Source organism: Homo sapiens, chromosome 6 (assembly GCF_000001405.40).
Source record: "Homo sapiens chromosome 6, GRCh38.p14 Primary Assembly".
In the NCBI taxonomy this organism is placed as follows: domain Eukaryota; kingdom Metazoa; phylum Chordata; class Mammalia; order Primates; family Hominidae; genus Homo; species Homo sapiens.
In genome coordinates this window covers 151,290,581-151,303,408 of record NC_000006.12, presented here as the reverse complement: position 1 = coordinate 151,303,408, position 12,828 = coordinate 151,290,581, and the positions used below count along the sequence as shown (strand labels likewise).

At 42.9% G+C, this 12,828-nt stretch overlaps 1 protein-coding gene and 1 pseudogene across 2 annotated transcripts in view, besides 1 other annotated feature; one reads left to right on the top strand and one right to left on the bottom strand.

Annotated features, from left to right (window-relative positions):
• Positions 1-12,828, bottom strand: part of AKAP12 (A-kinase anchoring protein 12) — a 118,593-nt gene that overhangs the window by 55,151 nt on the left and 50,614 nt on the right. The gene's annotated exons all lie outside the window — the stretch shown is intronic.
• RNY4P20 (RNY4 pseudogene 20) lies at positions 4,476-4,567 on the top strand (annotated as a pseudogene).
• Positions 11,992-12,492: an enhancer, noted in NCBI's record as "H3K4me1 hESC enhancer chr6:151612052-151612552 (GRCh37/hg19 assembly coordinates)". NCBI's record gives its function as "activates a minimal SCP1, AML or CMV promoter by ChIP-STARR-seq in naive H9 embryonic stem cells {active_cell/tissue: H9 hESC(naive)}" and the evidence as "EXISTENCE:reporter gene assay evidence [ECO:0000049][PMID:30033119]".

Genomic DNA, 12,828 nt, shown 5'->3' with positions numbered 1-12,828 from the left:
TTGGCTTCAAAATGCCCATGCTGAGTCCATTTATTAAACAGAATACTCAGATTACATTTCCACTTAAAGTCTTCTCTTACCAAAATATGAAAGATGGGCATTTTAAATGAAACCTAAAGACAAAAGCAGGGGGTAGGGAATGGAGAAGGGGGCAGTGTGTCTCCACAAAGCCCATCTGCAAAAATGTCAGAGTATTTCTTTTTTTTATTTTTATTTTTGAGATGGATTTTCGCTCTTGTCCCCCAGGTAGTCCAATGGCATGATCTTGGCTCACTGCAACATCCGCCTTTTGGGTTCAAGTGATTCTTCTGCCTCAGCCTCCCGAGTAGCTGGGATTACAGGTGCCTGCCACTGCGCCCAGCTAATTTTTGTATTTTTAGTAGAGACGGGATTTCGTGTTGGCCAGGCTGGTCTCCAACTCCTGATCTCAGCTGATCCGCCCGCCTCAGCCTCCCAAAGTGCTGGGATTACAGGCATGAGCCACTGCGCCCAGCCAAATGTCAGAGTATTCTAACTAAATATCATTGAGTATGTACACAGGACTTAGATTTGATTAGTAACAGGAAGAAAAGTTGGGGGAGGAAAGCAGGAATCACATATTATCGTGGGCTACATGGTAACCCAGTGAATCTTAAACCTAGAAACTGTTGACATACACAGTTTCATGATATGGCAAACTAAACAGGGAACATAAAAAAGCCATCTTAATACCTCAATTTCAATGCAATAAACTTCGGTCAATTGTGCCTCTTATTTAGGAACCAGAACTCTGAAGTTCTATAGAGTTTAGGGTTCTACCAAGTACCTAAAATTATTGAAAAAATTCTTATAATCCTCTGTGAATTGCCCAATCCAAGGTATCTTTAGTTGGAGCCAAACTGAGTCTCTTTAAACATGAAGACTATAGCACACAGGCACAAATTTCCGTCTACTCTTTTAGAAATGTTACTGAGCCGGGCACTGTGACGTGCGCTGTAGTCCCAGCACTTAGGAGACTGAGGCAGGAGGATTGCTTGAGCCCAAAAGTTTGAGGCCAGCCTGGACAACATAGAGAGACCCTCGTCTCCAAATAAAAACATCATTTAAAAAAGAGATGTTACACCAGGCGCAGTGGCTCATGCCTTTAATCCCAGCACTTTGGGAGGCCGAGGCAGGCAGATCATGAGGGCAGGAGATCGAGACCATCCTGGCTAACATGGTGAAACCCCGTCTCTACTAAAAATGCAAAAAATTAGCCAAGTGTGGTGGTGTGCGCCTATAATCCCAGCTACTAGGGAAGCTGAGGCAGGAGAATCACTTGAACCTGGGAGGCGGAGGTTGCAGCGAGCTGAGATCACGCACTCCAGCCTGGGCAACAGAGGGAGACTCCGTCTCTTAAAAAAAAAAAAAGAAAAAAAAAAGAGATGTTACACACACATAGCAAAGTACATTAGATGATAAAAAGAAGGACCCTTAAAAACTGAGGTCAAATGCTACACATCCTTACATCCTAAGTATGATAATGAATACATTATGAGATACTAATTTTCAGTAACCACAGGGTAACTGTCCCTACTTGAGAAAGGCCGTAGATACATTATTAACTTCGGTAGAAAACGATTTATGACAGTGACGTTACTGAACCTGAGTTTTGAGTCTATTTTACTATGTGAATAGCTTGCGTCCCGCCAGGGTACCCAAGCTTTGACCTCAAGGGTGATGTCTCAGGTGAGCTTTCAGAGCCTATGAGGCACCAACATCCGCACAAAATGGGACTTCATTCCTAGTCAGATTGTCACATTCAGACATGTCCACACTTTTGCAAATCCCACGTGTTGTTAAAGATGGATAATTCCCTTTATTTCACTCCAAATCAAAAGTGTTTTTGTTTTTTCTTCCATCCCCAAACCGTCTAAATAAGTCATACCGTTGTTAAAAATTCACGGACTTCTGAGAGTTATCAATAAGTTAAAGTCACCTCAAATAGAGGAAATCAAACCTACATTCATTTAAGTCTTTTCTGTGTTTTCTACGTGTGTATATATACAGGCACAAGCATTCACTTAAAAAATAATGGGGAACACGTGTTATTTTATGACCTGATGGTTTCATACATTGTGGGTACATTTCTTTATTAATAAACACGCACCTTGCTTAACTTCAATCAGTCTCTCCTGTCTGCAACTCAAATGGCCACAGAAGACAGGATTTACACACAGCTCTGCCCAGAGAGACCCTGAAAGATGCAGACACAACATAGTGGCACATGGGACAGGAGGCGGTGGAACCAGATGGGATTCATTGGAGCCAGATGGGATTCGAGGACCACCCATTTCAGGGAGGAAAGTAATACTGGGACTTAACTGTTACCAAACAAGAAAGAAGGAGGAAATGTATATTTCACTTTTTCCACTCCGAAGCTTCCTCGCATAGCTTTATCCCTCCACCCTGAACTTAGTTTTATAAATAGTTATTTCTTTTGAGATGAGAACTAGACTTGAAAGACACGCTCCTTACACTTAAACATGGTAAGCACCAGAAAACCTATTTTCCCACTGGATTTGTGCTTCAAAAAGCACAAATGCCTCCTTTGAACAAATCAAAACCCTAAATGTTTTCAAGCTTATATCCTTTGAGTGGGTCAGCCAGAGTTTATTCCCATGAAGTATTACCACATTACAACTAAACAAGCTGTTAAAAAAAAAAAAGACCCTAAAAACCTCAAATGTTTCCAGCAACAGTGTTTTCCTCTCATTTCTGTAAGAACAACAACCAAGAATGTCCAAGTGGTAGCCAAGGCACCACAGAAAAACTAGGAGACTTCTCCATCCACTTCCTTCTCCACAGGAGTCCACAACGTGCTAGGGACCTCCTTTGCAGAGTAAGAAACAGGAGTACCAGGCTGTTTAATGAAGTTGTGAAATGATGAGCCCTTGACAGCTGTCAGGATGCCAGGGGCAGAGGAGGTAAGCCAACCAAAGCAACCCTTTTCACTGCAGAAGTGATACTCCCAGATCTACATCCTCATTGGACGACCGGGTGCAAGTGGCCCAGCACTCCTGCAGTTCACACAGTAGACGAGGCTCCAAAGGGGCAATTCGTCCCACCCCGGGCAGTATGACCAAGAAGCAAACCTGTAAGTGGCCTTCGTGGGAAGGAACCAGAAGCCAATATAACCAGGACACACCCACAAATGATCAAATCATCAGACTTAAAGATTATCTGGAAGGAATTTTAAATCCCACGACAAAACTTGTAAAGAAACCTCTTCATTGTGTTTTCTCCTTCATTCTAATAGAAAGTGTTTTGAAAGTAAATCTTTAAAAATGTCAAACAAAAAAAATAAAAACCAGAGTACAAATCAGTAAACAATATCCCTGGAAGGCAATTTGGAAATAGGGATAGAATTTTAAATACGCAAACCCATTAGCTACACCATGCCATTCTAATAGATATGGCATTACATATTTATGAGGTGCAACACATAATAACTTATAATAGGGTTGGGCGTGGTGCCTCATGCCTATAATTCCAGCACTTTGGGAGGCTGAGGCAGGAGGATGGCTTTAAGCCAGGAGTTTGAGACCAGCCTGGGCAACAAACTGAAACCCAGTCTCTACAAAGGAAAAATAAATAAGTAATAAATACTTCATAATAGCAAAAAAAAAAAAAACCCTTAAATGTCTATCAGTAGAGGGGAGTAGTTAAATTATGAAATGTTCATGCAATAGACAACATCAAAAGCTATGAGGTAGATTTAGACACACTCATGTGTGAAGATGTCCCTGGCTTAAGGGGGAAAAGAAGCAAGTTGCTGAGAATGATTCTTTTATGTGTTTAAAACCAAACTAAACAAAAATAACCCACTGACAAAGAGGGAGAGGAAGAGGAAAAGGGAGAGAGAAAAGGAGTCAATGTTTGTGTAAGCATTTTTTTTAAAGTCTGGAACAATATGTACCAAATCTTTAATAATGGTTACCTCTATGGCATTGTTGTTGTTTGGTTTTATCCTCTTAGAGGGAAATTGGGAGAACAGACACGGTTTCCTTTTTACTCACTTTATCACTGTAGAAGTGAAAATACATTGAACCCTAAAACTCATAGATTCTTAGGCTTCAAGCATGTTAATAACCTTGCTTGCCAGGGTTCATAAATCTTTTAAGATCATCTAGGCCAACAGGCCACACTGCTGGAGCTTTAACTCCTCTGTTTATATCATCTCCAAATGTAAATAACATATTAATGTCCTCAGCTAAGCCATTCATCAAAAACATTGAACGGGACGGAGCCAAGCATATCACAGTTCTACAGCAGGCCACTACAGGCTCCTGACAGAGAACACATGTATCCTATGCATTATGTACCCATTTCACAAGTGTGTTTCATATACATTTGCTTCCGCCTTAAGGAAGTTACTTTCACGACCTTGAGCACATTTCTTACCTCCCTCATATCTTCCCCATTCTCTGTAAAATGGAGTTAAGAATTCATTTTTAGGCTGGTCCGATGGTAGTGGGTTATCAGAAATTAACATCAGTGTTACTAAAGTCGGTATACAACCCTACACTGCTAAACTTGACTGGCTTTTAAAAAGAAAAAAATTTTTTCATTTTTCTCTCTTGTTTTTTTTTTTTGAGATGGAGTCTCACTCTGTTGCCCAGGCTGCAGCATAGTGGTGCCATCTCGGCTCACTGCAACCTCCGCCTCCTGGGTTCAAGTGATTCTCCTGCCTCAGCCTCCCAAGTAGTTGGGATCACAGTCAAGTGCCACCACGCCTGGCTAATTTTTTTGTATTTTTAGTAGAGACGGGGTTTCACCATGTTGGTCAGGTTGGTCTCGAACTCCTGACCTTAAGTGATCCACCCGCATTGGCTTCCCAAAGTGTTGGGATTACAGGTGTGAGCCACCTCGCCTGGCCAAGAATTCATTTTTATATACCTCAAAGAATATTGGAAACATCACCAGGAACATATTAAGTTCTTAATAAGTCAACTATTAACATAAATTTTAGCTGTCTTTGTTATACTATTTGTTCTCAATAATTGTGGTCTTGGGAATTACTTGTTCCATGCCTGCGTTCTTCTCTAAAATGAAAGCTCTGGGAGTTATTACCTGTGTCCTTCCTGCTCTGCACTCAACAATAACACCTGGCAAATGGCAAAGGCATCTAATCCTTCTGATTTTCTAGGACTGGGCAGGACAAAGCGGGTAAAGGTGGTTTATATAAAGATCTAAATGGACGAGGGCCGCCTGTGATTTTTCTTTTCTTTTCTTTTTTAAACTATAGAAAGCATGGGGGAAACAGAAGACAGCACAGCACATACAACGTCTTGGTTAGAGTCCAAGCTCCTCTCAGCTATGGAACTTTACTCTGAGCTCATCTTCCCAGTTACAAACTGAGACTAATACTATCTCTGTTTTTGGATTGTGTGAGATTCAAATGAAACCGTATTGGGGGAAATTCTCTTTCTAAATAGAAAAGCACTCAGCAGCCATTTTATGAGACTTGGTCCATTTGATCAAATCAAGGTCCACGTGCTATCCCAGTACTTTCCACCCCTTATCTCACACTACGGTCACCTTTTATAAATGGTCCTCATGTTTCTGTTAAGGAGGGTTTCAAAGGAGGCAGCATTTGGCTTGAGTCTGAGATGTGAAATGAAAAGGGAATCCAACAAAATTAGAAACAGCTCGGTAGAGGCGACACATCTCACTACATCCCAGGACACACATTCACACGGGGCTGCACCTCAAGACATGGGTACGGCTACACGTAACATGGCCATAGCCTTGAAATCACAGACTTGCACACAGGAAGAGAAAAGAAGACACAGTAGCCTTTTTTTTTTTTTTTTTTGAGACGAACTCATGCTCTGTCCTCCAGGCTGGAGTACAGTGGCACGATCTTGGCTCACTGCAACTTCCATCTCCTGGGTTCAAGCGATTCTCCTGCCTCAGCCTCCTGAGTAGCTGGGATTACAGGTGCGCACCACCACACCCGGCTAATTTTTGTATTTTTAGTAGAGACGGTTTCATCATGTTGGTCAGGCTGGTCTCAAACTCCTGACCTCGTGATCCACCCGCCTCGGCCTCCCAAAGTGCTGGGATTACAGGTGTGAGCCACTGCGCCCAGCCCATAGCAGCCCTTTTTTTCCTGAGGTTCCTGGTTGGTTCAGATCCTCAGGTTGCGAGGGCAAGTGATCCTGCCCCCACAACACACACACACATACACATACACCCAGAGTTGTGTGGTGTGTATCAGTGAGCCCACCCATCAATGTAACTCAAAGAGCTATCATTAAGACTGATGATTTATTTCATACAAGTCAATAGCTGTAGCTCTTGGTGTATTCACTCTAAAATTGAATACTTCAAACAGCAATCCAGACTGGCAAAAAAAAAAAAAAAAACCCTTTTATTTCAACCTAGGCATACAATATATTTTCCAATGTATATTTAAATTTCTAGAAGTAGGCTGAAAATAAGACGGAGGCTAAATGCAGAAATGGATTATTCCACTGGTGATCCAGATTTATGAGAAGTTTAGATGAACAATAGCCCTAATTTTTGTGAGGGAACTGGATCAAATTCTTTAGTCTCTCCATTCCTTCCCCGACAGTCATGCTTTCCAAGAAGTTCAGCCTGAGGATGCTGCATCTCAGCTGCAGGCTAGAGTGCAGGCTAGAGTGCAGTGGCGTGATCTCGGCTCACTGCAACCTCCACCTCCCGGGGTCCAGAGATTCTCCCGTTTCAGCCTCCTGAGTAGCTGGGATTACAGGCATGTGCCACCACACTCGGCTAATTTTTGTATTTTTAGTAAAGATGTGGTTTCGCCACATTGGCCAGGCTAGTCTCAAGCTCCTGACCTCAGGTGATCCGCCCACCTCAGCCTCCTAAGGTGTTGGGATTTCAGGCATGAGCCACCGCACCTGGCTGATGTGATTTTTAATTATCTCAAGATATATAGTAAGCACTGCTAAGGCAATCAGGAGTATACATTTATATTCCATGAATTTAAAAAAAGATTTAAGGCAATCTGCAAAAGAAAAATATGAGGAGGCCTTTTAACTAGCAAGGTTTTTAAAAGAGAGAAAATGAACTGCTTATCGGGTTTCAGAGCTATTATCAAAGCATAGAGTCAAAAGCTCTCTCCAACCACATGAAATTGAGAAGAGGATGCATCCCGGGGTGGGCATGATTGTAGTGATCTCTAAAAATAAGAAGCCCTTATCTCTGAGAAATTGGCCTCCAGAGCTCTCTTCCTGCTGCCAGTTTTCCTCAGGGAAGAGGCAGCAGATCCTCTTGAGGGTGGCAGCAGGTCCCAGGTCTTAACCTACAGATGCTATGAAGTCTCTGATCTTTAAATAAAGCCACTGCTCGTTATAAATTTCATGATATTTCTTTCCATCCATATATTCAGCAAACAAAACCAACAAGCCAAAAAAGTTCCCTTACTGCTTGGTGACATCACTTTAAGCTCGACTGAGTTCATCTGAAGGACTCAGAAAAGGGGGTGAACATCTCCTCACCATCACCCAGAGTCCCTGTGGCCCCTTCCCTCCAGCTCCACAGGACGAAAACAGGGCCCAGCTGTCTGAACCCCACGTGTCCTACTGCACTTTATCCTGCAGGTCTTTATTCCAAGATGGGGTTTACAGCCTACGCTACATCATCCCACCAACTGCCGAGTAGGAGCTATTCACCCAACAGCAACATTTATCCACTTTCAATACCTGATTGGCTTGGTTAGACCAGCTTTGTCATGCTGTCACATTCGTTTAACTAATTTAATTTAATCCTAGTGCAAAAATGCTAATTTCCAGAATGCCAATATTAATTTTATCTTGTGTTTGAAATGGCAGTGCTTGCTATTTAAGGAAGGCGGCTGGAACGGTTTCTGCACAGCAGCAGAGCTTGAGGGCCCAGGAGTGCTGCTTGGTGAGGGGTATAAATACTAGACAGAGAGTTTCTCGCCACTGTCTACAAATCCCAGATTTTTCTGTTTCTCATCATTTTCAGTAAAATTCATGAAAGTTAGTTAACCATAATTTCAGGAGAAATAACCCAAACTCATCTTTAGACATGAGAAAGAATGATTGTTAAGAGAGATCCACTAAAATCATCAGTTGGCTTTTAGCATGCAAAATTAATTCCATTGAACATTAATATTCAAATTGTTGGATGTCTTATTAGAAAATAATGTATCTCACATTGCTTATGGAAACCCCAAAGGACTGGCCACTACAGGTGAACTCATTTTATCAGGAATGTTGTCTACAAATTAGGCCTCTAAATTCTCAAAGATCGGCATTTATCAAACCGGTCTCTGAGAGCATGAGTATACTGCGTGTATCAACACCAACATACCACGCATTATCTCAGAAGTGTTCTGTGCTCCAGGTTAGCTTGGGAAACTCTGACGCAGACAGAGTTAAGCAGATTTACTTAGAATTTAAAGACTCTTTAATGTGCATTCTGAACCACTAAGGAGGAAATCACTGCATTTTCTAAAATGAGTTCCTCAAGGAACCCTCTCTGAGTCACATCTACTAACATTCCCCATAACTAAAGACACCACGGATGCATGCAGTATGTTTTAACACACAACACTTCAGTCAAGTATTCCCTACTTTATAAAAAGTTATAGTTGTTTTTAAAAGTATTAAAACTCCCGAGTTCTCTGGGAAAGTATGTTAAAGAAAACAAAGCACTCTAAATCTGGTTAGGTGGGAGATCAACCATGCTGATTTCAGGCAAAGGGAATTTATAAGATCTCTGCTGGAGATGGGGGCAATAAAAAGCACCACCTACCAATGACAGCAATTCACTGCATGAAGATGGCCTGCCAGAATTCCGTTCTGTGAAATGCCTACCTTGTAATGTTGGCAAACCCCACAGCATTTGGGTCTTAGGACAGAGAGAAGCTCATTAAATCCAACTGGAAGAAAAACCTGTGAATCCTAGACCAAGTCTCTGATACAACCGGTATCTTCCTGTGTGGACACTGTGGACAGTAATTACAGGACATGGGGCATCCCTGGTGCCCCCAACCCCGACCCCCCATATCAAGAAATGTGCACCTCCCCTGAGGTGGTGGTGATAACATTCCTGGTTAAGAACCACTACTCACAGCCTCATAGAATCAGGAAAGAACTCCAGGCTGAACATGGTGGCTCACGCCTGTAATCCCAGCACTTTGGGAGGCCGAGGCGGGTGGATCATGAGGTCAAGAGCTCCAGACCATCCTGGCCAACATGGTGAAACCCCGTCTCTACTAAAAATACAAAAATTAGCTGGGCATGGTGGCACTCGCCTGTAGTCCCAGCTACTCGGGAGGCTGAGGCAGGAGAATTGCTTGAACCTGGGAGGAGGAGGTTGCGGTGAGTCGAGATTGCGCCCCTGTGCTCCAGCCCGGCAACAGAGCAAGACCTCGCCTCAAAAAAAAAAAAAGAAGAAGAACTCCAAGGTTGAACCTGAAGAATTTTATTCTTTTTTTCCCCTAAGGTAACTTAAACCAAGAAAATGCATCTCTACTTAATTATGCTGGATCCATGATATGATCTATCTAACACAGACCTTAGGCATGTGAGCCATGCTTGCACTGGGTGTCCTCTCAGGGGAGAAGAATATGTAATCCGGCAATTCCAAGAATTCTTGTGTTAAGGACAGGGAACAAGCCCAATACCATGTTACTTACTCTCTCCTTAAGCTTCAGAGGAATACTGGAGTTCCGTGTTTAACAAAAAAGCACCTGACTTCTCTTGATTAGTTATTTAACTTTGGGTCCCAGATCATGTCAAGTTACAGAGCACAGAATACAGACCCCTAGAGCTACAGCTTTATAGTCCAGTGTCATGACCTGCATCGTGAATGTCTAAGACAAGTTCCCCACCACCCGCTGCTCTGAGCTGATGCACCTACCAGCTGTCCTGGGCAAATTAATTACCATCTTGACTTCTTGGACCTCCACAAATTCCAATTGCAAAATAAGCAAAATGTTATTGTGAAGAGTTAGAATAATGAATATAAATCATCTCAAAACACATTTCTGACAATTCTGGCAATTCTCATGACTAGTTTTTTCTGTGGCCCTGCACCAGCAAATTCATAGTAGGTTTTATCTACAGCATACGTGCAAGTCAAGATCTCAGTTCTCACTCAATTCCTACACACCACTTCATATTCAAGCAATTACTCTCACGTTAAGTGGCTGCTTCTCTCAAAAGAATCCTCATTTGGTAGTAAAATAATTACATCACATCCTTGCTTAGAAATCTGATAATACCAAATGTTTTGAAATCCACTGTGTGCCACAGAAAGGCTAAATAGTTTCTGAGTCCAAGAGATAAACAATTTCAACAGAGGAGGAAACCAGCGTTATCCCAAGTAAGGTCTTGATTTTAAAGTTCAAAAAATTTTAGAGGCTAATATTACTTCTTCTAATCAAAGGTGTGTCCCTAAGATAGGAGTATCAGAAGCTCCACCATGAAGACAGATATGAGAAATACGTAGTGGCTAAACACTACACAACTGTCACTTGCTTATGGGGGCAAAGGCAGAGACGGGCAAGAGGAAGACAGAAGAAGGTCTCATAAAAAGCTCTTCTCCCATCCTGAGAAGGGATGTTTGTTTGGTTTGTGTTAGGCAGCCCTAGGCAGCACACATCAACACGCCTTGCAGGCTCTTCACCATGCTGACAGCTGCAATACAGGGAGGTGGAGACAGAAGTTTACTCCAAACTTTGCCAAAACAGGTAACATATTACCATTCAATGAGGAGGATAATCGAGACCCCTGTTGAAATGAAATACAGTCAGCCTTCCGTATCTGCAGTTCCTCATCCGGCAAAAACTATCTTTTCAATCCTTGGTTGGTTGAATCTGAGGTTGGGAACCCCTGGATCCAGAGGGCAAACTGTGGGACTTGAGCATCCTTGTATTTTGGTACCAACAGGGGTGGGAGGGTCCTGGAACCAATTCGTCTAAGATACTGAAGGACAACTGTACTACACACTGTCTGCAAATTTGTAGCTATACTGCCTTTGAACCAGATTGCTTAAACTGATTGCTGATTTTTAACTAAAAACCCAGTTAGAATGTATTGCCCACCCCATTGCAACTTCAATTCTAAGTCCATGCTCCATTCGACTGAAAGAGAAAAAGAACAAGCAAAATTGCTTGTCTCCTTTTCAGTAGAATGCACTTGATTTGCAAAGATGGCCTAAGATAATGTGATTTAGCCAAGAATCAACAGTGATTATCCTATTATGTTCAACTCCAAATATTTGTAGCACAATCACCAAAATGTAAGATACAGAATGAAAAAGTAGCAAATTTCAAATCCACAAACAACTGTCCTGTGTTTGCTGACGAGCATCTATGGGAATTAGCAAATGGAGGCTGAATTCTAAACTGCTTTTCAATTGAAATGTCTCTGCCTCACAGGCTCCTTTCTGAAGCCCACTAGGCAGAGGGTTCCACTGCCAGAACCTCTGCTGGCTGCAGCATTCAAGATAGAAGGCACTGCACATGGAAGGAAGGGAAAGAGGCCACAAGTCAGCTGGCAGGGATGAGCTATGTTAAGCCATCCCAAGTGACTTCGAGAAATGCCTCCTTATATGTGAAAAAAACTCAAGAAAGTTTCCTATACACTGTGGCATCCATCGGTTACTTAAAAAACTCATTAAACATTTAGCTGATAATGGACTTGCAGATGCCATTGTGGAGAATCCATTTAGGGTCCGTGGATGCTTAATAGCAAAATTAAAATGATAAATTGAAATGGCTTTCTCTGACGTGTGTGCTTAGCTCCCTGCGCCACGGAATACAAGCAGCCTCCTGCATACCAAAGTAAGTGACGCGAATCCAGCCCTGCTGCTGCTTGAGCACAGCCAGTGTTTATCAGTCTGCTTGGAGGAAAACAGGGACTTCGCCTAGGGCAACTGATTCCTAAGGGGCAGGCAATGGTAAGACCCCTTCTTAGCTGGTAATGATCCTGCCGTGCTTCTCTGGATCTGGCATAGCCCAGGACAGTCAACAGAAAGAGCACAATCTGCAAGCTCACCCATGAAAGGAAATCTCAGCTAAGCCACTCATCAGCTGTGAGACATGTGGGCAAATTTCTCACCCTCTGAGCCTATAGAACGAGGGGTAATACTTTTGTGGGGCTGTTGTTGTGGTTATATCCTAACCCAATTAAGTCAGAATCTCTGGGAAAGGACCCACATATTAGTAGTTTCCAAGGCTCCCCCAGGTGATTCCAATGGGCAGCTGCTGTCTCAGAGGCATGATACTGACCAAGGGAACCTGACAGGTGGTGAAGGGGACACTGGATGAGGTGATCTGCAGCAACTGGAGACCAGCTCTCAAAAGGAAAGTAAATCAGAAAGCAGCTCCGTTTATGTGCAGAGAGGGGGAGTTTCTATGCAGGTAAGGTTACAGGGAGAACCTAGAAGGACTAACTTCTGAGGAAGAGAAGGGGATTTAGTAGGGGAGAGGGTGAGAAGGAAAAACAAGAATCCAGGCTGGGCAAGGTGGCTCACGCCTGTAATCCCAGCACTTCGGTAGGCCGAGGCGGGCGGATCATCTGAGGTCAGGAGTTCAAGACCAGCCTGACCAACATGGAGAAACCCCGTCTCTACTAAAAATAAAATACAAAATTAGCCTGGCATGGTGGCGCATGCCTGTAATCCCAGCTACTCGGGAGACTGAGGCAGAAGAATCGCTTGAACCTGGGAGGCAGAGGTTGCAGTGAGCCAAGATCATGCCACTGCACTCCAGCCTGGGCAACAAGAGTGAAACTCCATCTCAAAAAAAAAAAAAAGAATCTGGTGAAGGCTGGGAACCATCAG